This window comes from Homo sapiens, chromosome 7 (assembly GCF_000001405.40).
Source record: "Homo sapiens chromosome 7, GRCh38.p14 Primary Assembly".
Classification (NCBI taxonomy): domain Eukaryota; kingdom Metazoa; phylum Chordata; class Mammalia; order Primates; family Hominidae; genus Homo; species Homo sapiens.
In genome coordinates this window covers 82,468,850-82,480,665 of record NC_000007.14, presented here as the reverse complement: position 1 = coordinate 82,480,665, position 11,816 = coordinate 82,468,850, and the positions used below count along the sequence as shown (strand labels likewise).

The 11,816-nt window shown below is 35.5% G+C and overlaps 1 annotated feature.

Moving 5' to 3' along the window:
* Window positions 7,925-9,124: an enhancer, noted in NCBI's record as "CDK7 strongly-dependent group 2 enhancer chr7:82100858-82102057 (GRCh37/hg19 assembly coordinates)". NCBI's record gives its function as "activates an origin of replication core promoter dependent on BRD2, BRD4, P300/CBP, MED14 and CDK7 cofactors, with strong dependence on CDK7, by STARR-seq in HCT116 cells {active_cell/tissue: HCT116}" and the evidence as "EXISTENCE:reporter gene assay evidence [ECO:0000049][PMID:35650434]".

Sequence of the window (11,816 nt, the reverse complement as noted above, 5' to 3'; positions counted from 1 at the left end):
CTCTTTATTATTGTTTTCGATGATGAACATATTGATGATGATGATGGTGATGGCTAATATTACTGAACCAGGTACTGTTCAGAGTACTTAACATAAATGAACTCCTTAAATGTGTCCAGAACTATTTTGAGTGTATACCATGAATAAAATCATCCAATCCTCAAAACAATTCTATGAGGTAAGTTCTATTATTATCTTAATTCTATAGATAAGGAAACTGAGGAATAGAAAGGTTTAGTAACTTGCTCAAGATCTCATGCCAATAAGTGGTGCAGGCAGGATTTCAAGTCTTGCAGTATAGACACAATCATCCCTTGGTATCTGAAGGGGATTAGTTCCAGGACTCTTGCAGAGTTCAAAATCCACAGATACTCCAGTTTCTCATATAAAATTGCCTGGTAGACTCAGCCCTCCATATCCACAGATATGGAAACTCCCACTACAGAGGGTCTGCTATACTAGAAGACTTTTTACTTCAATTATTTAGAAGTAGTTTAATTCTGCTACCTGGAAACAAGAGATAGTTTAATGTTATCAAGCTCTCATCTACTAAGATGCTATCTTGGGGCCGGGCACAGTTGCTCAAACCTGTAATCCCAGCGCTCTGGAGTTGGAGACCAGCCTGGGCGACATAGTGAGACTCCATCTCTATAAAAAATATATATATAAATTAGTGGGGTGTGGTGGCATGCACCTGTAGTCTCAGCTTCTTGAGAGGCCGAGGAGGGAGGATTGTTTGAGCCCAGGAGGTAGAGGCTGCAGTGAACTGTGATTATTCCATTATGCTCCATGCTGGGTGACAAAGCAAGAGCCTGTCTCAAAAAAAAAAAAAAAAAAAAAAAGCAATCTTGCAATTTATACCCATTTTTGGTTACTATTATTCATTTCTAGATGCTATCTTAGATTCATACAATCTTAAAATTCTCCAATGATATGACATGTATGAATATCCTTTTTCCTAAACTGTTACAACATATCACAATATTTTCAATTTTTTATCATGTCTAAATGGTGTATATAATATTGTCCCAGGTACGAAAAGAATTGACTCATATATTTTATCTCAGTTTTCATATTTGCTTTTTCTATTTTATAAAAGTTATATTAATATAGTTATTATATAATTATTATTTAATGATTTAATAATATTTAATATTTATGTAATAACTTGCATTATAGTTTTATTATTTGCTTTGCTTTGCTTTTTATGTAGTAACAATAATATTGATGTTGCTGAATGATAACCTGATATTGAAGCAGCTTGGTAATATGAAAGAAACCAAAGCCACTGGAAACCAAACCCAATGGACTAAATATCAGAAGATGGAGATTCTATTTCTGACTTTGCCACTTACGTCATATCAAGTAAGTGACAACTTTCTGAGCTCAGATCAAAATTTCTTAGTAATCAAAAAATATGTACCAATTAAAAAGGACTATGTGATAACTTATAAGTCCATAACATCATCAAAAACTTTAAAAGTTACTATTAAATAAGATGAATTATAATTAAAATAGTTAAATGTATTTTTGTCTAAAAAAACAAATAAATATCATACAATTTAATTCTGCTAAGTGTTAAATCCATGAACGCATAAAGAGAGGGATAAGTTTTGCAAAGAAGGTTGTATCCAGAATGTGAAGTGTTCTGAATACCTGTTTATCCTTGCTCTAAAGGAAAATTGGGGCCCACTGAATGTTTTGCAATAGAATAATGATATAAGACCTGCAATTTAAGAAAATTCTTTTTACGGCTCTGTTGAAGACAGACTATTAAGTGAGAATTGAAGAGAAGAAGGCCATTTGTAACAGGATAGGTAACAAATAGAATGTCTGCATGCAAATTATAGATTGTAATGATAAATTGCTTTACATTTGAAAAGAAATTCATATTGGTGAGTAAATTCAAATAAAATAGGTAAATGTGATTTTTGTCTATAGTTTATTGCAAATAAATTAAGCTATGTTTATAAAGCAAGTTGTTGAGGACAGTTAATCTATTAAAAGGTCCTGCTCAATTATAAACAGGTTTACTAAGATAACTTCACAACCCCCACTTTAGTGAATTCCTTTGATCATTTAATTTTGAAAAAGCACTTACATAAATTTCCATAAGTGAATAATGATGTTTTGATTAAGTGCTATATATTTATCTACTTATTAACATTTTAGTAATATGATTAGCCATAATTTAACAATCCAATACCCTTCTTGGCTTGACTTCAATGTAACAACAGCAAGTAATATCAAGAAATATAAAAATATAAATACAAATACACAACATCACTTCGTGATAATGCTGTCACAATTTTTTTATTGGTACTGTAATGGCATAAAGCCAACATGAGTGAACCACAGCAGCTGAGAGGGGAGTAAGGATATAAAATCTGAAGCAGTGAGTCAAAATTTCCCTAAATAAAATCAGAAGAACAATATTATGGCATTTTCACTTATATTCAGTAACAAAGAAATGACAAACAGGCAAGACTACATTGGAGAGAGGCACCAAAATACAATCATAAAAGCAGGAGACATTACAAGACCAATAATAGAATGAACAAGCCTTTGAATTAAGCTCACAAAACAGAACACTGTACTTTTTGTCACAGCTTTTAAGATATAAAGATAATGTATAGTAACCTTACAGAGATTCATTTTAATGGACTACCTCTTCATAAGAAGTCCATTTTGGCATGTTTGTCTCCTCATAAATACATGGGATTCAGTTTCATGGCACAGCTATATTTAGCTGAAGATAGCTGTGCCATGAAACTGAAACCCACATATTAAATAATAACTGGCATCTATTGGCATATTTAGGAAAAAGCATGTTAATATACTCAGTTTCAGTTACAGGCAACGTGGCAATTTTTTCTGCATATTTTTAAAAGATAAACTGTTTATACAAATGAGGATAAGTTTAAGTATATGTTGGTTTCAATAAAAAAGTTTTTTTCCTTTGCCAATGATTTCTTAAGTACACAAATTTAAGTCCATGTAAAAGTCTTATAACCCTCCAGAACACCAGAAGTGGCTTAACCAGCACTAGGACATAATGCTGAGGCAAATATAAAGGAAAAAAAAATGTCTCTGTCTTAACAGCGGTTAACTGCTGTGCTCAGACTCGCCATGCTGTTGCTTCTCATTTAACCATAGAAATGATTGATGTAGTAAAAATAATTCTCACCACTTAGATGGCAGTGAATAAACTTCCCAGTTACCAGCTAAATATCAAGAACTTGTTAGATATAAATCGTGTTGCTGATTAGACAGTGCAGCTTTATAGCCCTTAAGTAAGAGGAAAATCAGAAGCTCATTGGAGTTGATTTAAACAAAATTCTCAAGGTTCGTTGGAGATAGGGAATCAATCATTCTTAAAATCAAGTGGGCTCAACAAACATAGAGTTGTAAACAAGATTACACATAAAAGGAAAAAATGAAATGGAGGTTTGTTCACTTTTTAATAGATTCAAAAGAAGAAATATAATCAATCTTAGACCATTAAATAAACAAATAAGAATGTTACTCTGTATAAGATATAAATTTTAAATTTGTACCTTCTCTGCAGGGAAAATTAAACATAGACAAACTGGATGAAATCTAAAATTGATTTATAATCTATTAAAAAGTATTGCTGTATGTCTAGTTGCAGAAGGATTCTTATTCTATGTATGTAATGCCTAAAAAATATGTTGCAAAGGAAAAAACTACGTATGTATATAAATAATCAAAATCCTGAGCTTTTGTCCTACTTAATGACAAATGACTCATGTGATTTATTCTTTCAGTTGACCTGCCTGGGGAATTAATTAAAGGAATAAATGGATGTTGAAATTGTGTCTGGCATTGCTAATTTGTTGATGACTTGCTCGTAACAATTTCTCTGAATTTCTGGTCAATGGGATTTGTTTTAAGTGATCAAATTTACAAATTCCAGTTTGGGCTGTTCATTTTGTTTTTAGTAGAATTTGCTGGTGATAGCTGGCCATTGGTGACTGAGGAACCTCAGCCATAAACTTGACCCTTTTTGGCTCATTTATCTGCCACATTATTTCTCTTGCCACTATACATTGTTTTTCAGAACATTCCTCCTTCTTCACACTAAGGGATTAACAGAGGACAGAATTCAGAGGGAATAGGTATATAAAACACTGTGACAGGAAAAATTAGCTGACAATCAGAAGTCTAAATTCAATCTGGTAATATAACTAACTAAGCAACTAATGCTTCAGTTTTCCTTTCTTCATATGTAAAAGTAGGCATTAGAAATCATGCTCTCTGAGATTCTTCTAGCTCTGTAATTTATTATTCTGAGTGTGTGAAGGAGAAAATAAACTATCATGTATTACAGAAGCAATATTTGTTACAACACAATGGCAGTACTTATTTTTTCTTTTTCACAGAAACTAGTGTATCAATTTCAAAACATCATAATTCCATTTCTATTTCTAGTTACAAAAAAGTAGAATATGAGCTGTAAAGTTTGATAGAAACTGTGGAGATCTTTAGATATATTATTATAATATTCACTCTATGTCTGTTCAAGATACCTCTTTATACCAAATGTCCACAAGGAACAGTTCCTTTCCTAGTGGAAATAGCAGCCAAAGTCATATAGGTAAGGCTTGAAAGTGTACAATGTTTTAAGTTGTCACAGGGCAAAAAAACAACAGCAACAACTATGTAATGGAATAATTATGGAGACTAAATATTATAAGCTGAAAATAAATAATTGTTTTCATTAGCTTAGATCACTGAGATACATTTATGTGTCAAGTACTGCCAAGGATGGGAAATTTTACTGTACTTGCAAGCTATCATGTTGGCTTGCCACAATTTTTGGTTGCTAACGGAAGACATGAGACTCCTAGGTCCAAAAAAAAGAACTTTATTACTCATTGTATTAGCTGATACCAGAGTATTATCATTTTAGGCCTATACGCCAATTCCCACAGGCAGATTAGAAAAGGGACAGATGGGCTGGGTGCCAGCGGCTCATGCCTGTAATCCCAGCACTTTGGGAGGCCGAGGTGGGCAGATCACAAGCTCAAGAGATCGAGACCATCCTGGCCAACATTGTGAAACCCCGTCTCTATTAAAAATACAAAAATTAGCTGGGCCTGGTGGCGTGCACCTGTAATCCCAGCTACTCGAGAGGCTGAGGCAGGAGAATTGCTTGAACCCAGGAGGCGGAGGTTGCAGTGAGCCGAGATGGTGCCACTGCACTCCAGCCTGGGCAACAGTGCAAGACTCTGTCTCAAAAAAAAAAAAAAAAAAAAAGAAAAAAAAAGAAATGGGATAGATGCTATCCATACATGTAGTGGGTTACGTTATTGGAGAGAAATTCTGAGCTTAGGAAACAGATCCTTTCTAATGGACAATAAGCATGACTGGCCTTTCCCCCATATATAGAATACATCAGATATATTTATACACAACAATAAACAAACATGTTTTTTCTCCAGAAGAAGACACCATCTTCATCTTTCAGGGTTGTTCCCTATACAAACATTTTTAGGAAGAGTTCAGAACAAAGGCTATAAGTTCCTCCACTAGCAAGATGTACAGAAATCTAAGAGAACTTCGGAGAATTATGCCCAACAATATGTTTAATCAAGTCTTTTTAAGAATGGCTAATCATCAAGGCCACATTAAAGCAAAATATGTATTATGCTGTATTAAAAATGTTTATATTTTAGATATTTATCATAATTGGAATTTGGGACAGTGTTGAGATAAAAAAATAAGACAGACCAGAATAGCATTTTAACTCAACAACTATTTACACAGAGTTCGCTAAGTTAAAGGCTATTATCTAAGTCTTCAACAACTTCCATTTTCCAAAGCCTATGTCTTTCTCTCACTCTATCACTCAGCAGCACTGACCAGTTGACTACCTCTCAATCATATAACACTTCCTTCTCTTGATTTCCAAGATGCTCCAGTATCCTGGCTTTTCTCTTACCTTATTGGTAGTTCCTCTTTAGGATGCTTTGCTAATCTTGATTCATAGGACAAAACTGTAAATTTTAGTATGTTCTCAGATGAAATTCTTCTCCATCTCCCTTTTTCTAGATGATCTCATCTAGTCCCACAAATTAAAATCTAATCCATATTATAATTACCCAAATTGTCTCTGGCTGAAAACCCTGTCCAGATCGCTGGCCAATTCTGTATTCATATTTCTCCTAGGATGTAATCGGAATGTCAAACTCAACATGTCCAAAACAGAATTATTGATTTTCTTCAGCCCAACAAAACCAGTTTCTCCTCAAGAACTTTCCATTTCAGTTAATGGTGCAAATATCAACTCAATTGCTCAGGCTCTAAACCCAAAACTTATATTTTATTTCTGTCTCTTTTCATATCCTTGACAAACAAACCATTGGTAGGTCATGTCAGCAATACCCCAAAATATAACTGGCATCTCCTTGCCATCTTTAATACAGTGTTTTTGTACTAGCTATGATGATTTTTTGCCTGTTCTGCTACATTTGTTTCTTAAATGTTTTTACTTTTGCCTCACTGTGGCTCATTCCTACATGGCAACCAAAGTGACTGTTTTTAAATGGCTTAACATTTTTTTCTGGCTTGGGCGGGCATGGTGGCTCATGCCTGTAATACCAGCCATTTGTGAGGCTGAAACAGGTGGATTGCTTGAGCCCAGGAGTTCAAGGCTGCAGTGAGCTATGATTTCAATACTGCACTTCAGTCTGGGTAACAGTGAGATTCTGTTTCAAAAAAAAAAAGATCTCCAGCTTAAAAATTTTCCAATGACTTCTAAGTTTCAACAGAATAAAACTCAGCGTCCTACAGTCGCTCACAAGACTGTGTAGATTGAGCTAGTACTTGCTTCTGGGTCCTTTTTTTTTTTTTTTTTTTTTTTTTTAATTCCACTTTCCCAAATATTCTCTGAACTTCATCCACACTGTCTTTTTTATTTCCTCAAGCACATCAGACTTTTCCCCATCTTGGATCCATTTCATTTGCTCTTCACTTTGCCTGGAATATTCTTCCCCCAGATTGCTGTATGGCTGTGTCTTTCTCATCAGTTAGATCTTGGTTCAATTTTATCTCAGAAAGATTTCTCAGATCTCCCACTCCTTCCAATTCAACCACTCACTGTAGCAAAGACTTTTCGTTGCTTATTCTACAGCCACTCTTTGATGATAGGACCTTGATATTATTCACATCCCCTAGAAGAACAAGATCTTCAAGGGAGACTGGACCCTTTCTAACCCCAAAGCAAGATGCTTGATAGTTTTTGTTTGTTGTTGTTGTTGTTGTTTTAGACTGAGTCTTGCTCTGTCACCAAGTTGGAGTACAGTGGCGTGATTTCAGCTCACCGCAACCCCCCGCTTCCCGGGTTCAAGCGATTCTCCTGCTTCTGCCTCCTGAGTAGCTGGGACTACAAACAAGTGCTACCATGACTGGCTAATTTTCCTATTTTTAGTAGAGATGGGGTTTCATCATGTTGGCCAGGCTGGTCTCCAACTCCCAACCTCAAGTGACTCGCCTGCTTCGGCCACCCAAAGTGCTGGGACTACAGTCATGAGCCACCCACGCCCGGCCAAGATACTTGATTATTTTAAGGCATTCATCATTGTCTCAGACTATTAACAATTGATTGGTTTAGGAATAAACATGTTATATAATACAGAGGATGTTTTGAGTGGGGGCCAGGGCATTGCACTTCTAGAAAAATGTATCTCACTGCTTAAAAAGAATGCTGCCTTTCCTATTACCAGGGTATCATTGTCTGAAAATGACCCGTGAGACTGCTATTTTGGAGTCCTCAGGATATGCGGGCAAAAAGGACTGGCCAACATGTTGGAAATGGCAAAGCATAAAGAATTCCTGTAAATGATGAAGTAAGTGAGTTCTTGAATTATTTACCCTGGAACTCTTCTAACCCCTAACTTTATGTTGTATGAGATAATCAATATCCTTATTGACTAAAATTTTTGTTATTTTTTTCTATAACTTGGGAAAGGAAGCATCCTTACTGCTCTATTCAATATCCCATTGTCTTATTTTTTCTTCTTAGCACCTTTCTCATTGAGGCCAGGGATCTTATCTGTCTTGTCTATCACTATATATACAGCACTCAGAATATAGCACTTGGGCCTAGTAGGAACTTAGTAGATATTTTTATTTATTTTTCTTTGGGATGGAGTTTCACTCTTGTCACCCAGGCTGGAGTACAGTGGCATGATCTCAGTTCACTGAAACCTCTGCCTCCTGGGTTCAAGCAATTTTTCTGCCTCAGCCTCCTGAGTAGTTGGTGTTATAGGTGCCCATGACCGTGCCCAGCTAATTTTTTTGTTTTGTTTTGTTTTGTTTTGTATTTTTTGTAGAGATGGTCTCGAACTCCTGACCTCTGGTGATCTGCCCGCCTCAGCCTCCGAAAGTGCTGGGATCACATGCATTAGCCACTGCACCTGGCCTGTAGATATTTTTAAATCAATGAATAAATGAGACAAAAATCAATGTTCAAAGCAGCCTACAGTGTATTTAAAAGAATTTAATTTTTTCACACATCCTTGCACAAGCAATAGGTAAAATAATCCTTTAAACTATGTTAATACACTTTTCTCTTTTATCTTTCTATGCTCTATAATCTTCTCCCAATACTATTTTCTTTATAGGGGCTTAGGGTTGTTAAAGAAAGAGAAAGAAGTACCTGCTCAGAAGTGTCCTACAGAACAAAAGCAGGATATTTTTTAGTGTCTTGTGAGACAATTGTCTAAACTCCAGGTAATTTTGAAAAAGAAAAGACTGTTCCAAATTCTTTAAACTGTCATTAGCATACTAAGATCCCAACCTTCCCACCTGGAGTGCTCAGAGCTGCAGCAAGGTAAAGAAAGGGTTTACCTTTAACAGGAGAACTTGAAAGTTGATCAGATCCAAGCAATAGGTTGCAAACATGATGCGATGCTATCATAGATGTCCAGCTCCCAGGGTACTGGTTTCTATTGTCAAAAGGCAGGTTTCCATAGGAATTTAAAAAGCAAGATGACAGTGAGAAAAAGCAAGAAGACAGTGAGTAAAAACAAGATGACAGTCCTAGACGTAACAGGGTACCACGGCAAGAATATGATAATGACTCTCCAATGCAGAGAGAAGGCTCTGCTGCACCAGCCTGATCACAGCATTGCTTTACTCTTCAATAGGAGCTCGTCATCTGTGACATAAAGTTCATATGATCCTGGCAAAGAAGACCCTTCGTGATTTGGCCCCAGTGTTGCTCTTTTGTTTCATTTCCTGCTACTACCACAAATATTCTCATCTTCATCCTAAAGGAGCGATCTCAAATTTTCCATGTTGCCTTGCTCATTTATAACTTTAAGCTTTACCTGGGAAACCCTCTCTCCTTCCCAATCCTGTTAATCCTTTTCACAAACTCCCATTCATTCTTCAAGTCCTGGTTAAATTTTTACCTTCTTTCCTAACTCCAGCATCCTTGATTCTCCATATTCCCATTGCATCTTGAACGTCAATCCATTATATATAATTAGTTGCTAGATCTATTGCACATGTTCCTATATTGGACTTATTTCAGCGCCTTAAAGTGGCACATATTGTTTGCTTGGTCTGGAAAACTGCCTTTTTCTCTCTGATGCTTCTTTATTGTGCGAATATAACTCCTATTTCTCAATTAATCCTTGGCCTAAAATTCTTCTGAAAAGCTTTTCTAGTCTCGTAAGATTAACTAGTGTCCCTGTAAACAGCCCCTCATCACACTTTGATTGAGTACTTATTTGCATGCCATTTGCCTCGCTCTGAAAGAGTGAATGAATATCATCTATCTGCTAGGCCTGTGCTGTCCAACGTAGCAGTCACTAACCACATCTGGGTAATGAGCACTTGCAAGGAACACATCCAAACTGAGATGTGCTGTAACTGTAAAATATGAAAAGGATTTCCAAAACAGTGCCAGAAAGAAAGAACATAAAGCATCACAATAATAATTTTTATATTGGTTCCATGTTGAAATGATAGAATCTTGGATATATTGAGATAAAGTACAGTCAGTCTTCTATATTCGTGGGTTCTGCATCCATGGATTTAATGAACTGTGGATCTAAAATATCTGTATTGAACACATCCAAACCTTTTTTCCTTAACATTATTATTTAAACAACACAGTATAGCAACTATTTACGTAGCATTTACATTGTGTTAGGTATTATAAGTAACTAGAGATAATTTAAAGTGTATAGGAGGAGGCTGGGCATAATGGCTCAGGCCTGTAATCTCAGCACTTTGAGAGGTGAAGGCGGGTGGATCACTTGAGGCCAAGAGTTCAAGACCAGCCTGGCGAACATGGCAAAATCCCGTCTCTATTAAAAATACAAAAATTAGCCAGATGTGGTGGTACATGCCTGTAATCCCAACTACTTGGGTGGCTGAGGCAGGACAATCACTTGAGCCCAGGTGGTAGAGGTTGCAGTGAGCCGAAATCGCACCACTGCACTCTAGCCTGGAAGACAGAGCAAGACTCTGTCAAATAAAACAAAACAAAACAAACAATCAAAAAAACAAATAAATAAAGTATATAGGAGGATATGCATAAGTTATATGCAAATACTTCGGGACTTGAGCGTCTGTGGATTTTGGTGTCTGCGGGAAGTCCTGGAATTAAACTCCCATGGATACTGAGGGACAACTAACTGTATATTAGTAAAATTAATTTTACTTTTTCCTGTTTACTCTTTTTAACATGACATTAGAAAATTAAATGTTTCATATGTGCCACACATCATATTTTTATTAGACAGCACTGCACTAGGTCATGGTCTTCAGAAGTAGTGCGAACATACTGTATTGATTCTCTAACTAACACTTTATGGTCTCAAAAATGTGTACTAGATGAATAAATTAATAAATGGCAAGTACTCAGCAGAAAAATAGCTGCATCATTTAATTAGCAACAAGTGAAGAAATTTACAGAGGTTGTATGTTACTAATTTATCAAAGTGATTTTAGATCTGTCATAAAAATATCCTCTATTTGTACGCTTATAACGTAGAAGAAATCAGGAAATAATAAACCAGACTGAAAACCTTATAATTGTAAAGCTTTGACTCTAAAAACATATATATATTCTGACTCTGCTTTAATAAATCTTTTGGATTTTCATTTGAATCTGTTTGGGGGGCAATTCTGAATGTGCCTGTCATAGGCAGATGCTTCTGTTCTCTAAGACTAGAGACATAGGATTCAGTAGGTGGTGGTGCAGATGGCAAAGAGAGGGTGGGGTGACATTTCAAACTGTGGGCGGGACTAATGCAAATTTGGCAGCCCAAATGGAATTTCTGTGGGCCCGACAATTTTTGCAAGACTTCTTGCTTCCCAAGCAATCTACATCTATCCACCCCCCACGTTTTTATATATATATTTATTTATATTTGTGTGTGTGTGTATATATACGTATATATATACATATATAAGTGTATGTATATATGTGTATATATAAGTGTATATATACTTATACTAATATATGTATACTTATATTTATGTATATATATAAGTATACATATAAACTTATATATACATGTATATATAAATATACGTATACTAGTATATATATAAGTATATTCTAGTGTGTATATACTTGTGTGTACATATATAAATATATATGATATATATAAAATATGTATATATAGAAAGAGAGAAAAGAGAAAGAGAAAGACTTTAACCCTCTCCATTGGGAATTTTGTATACTGCAATTATCAAAGACGAAAAGAGTCTCTCTCAAAATTTTGCATATGGAATCAAACTATATTTCTAACATAGAAAGCTAAGGGAATTTC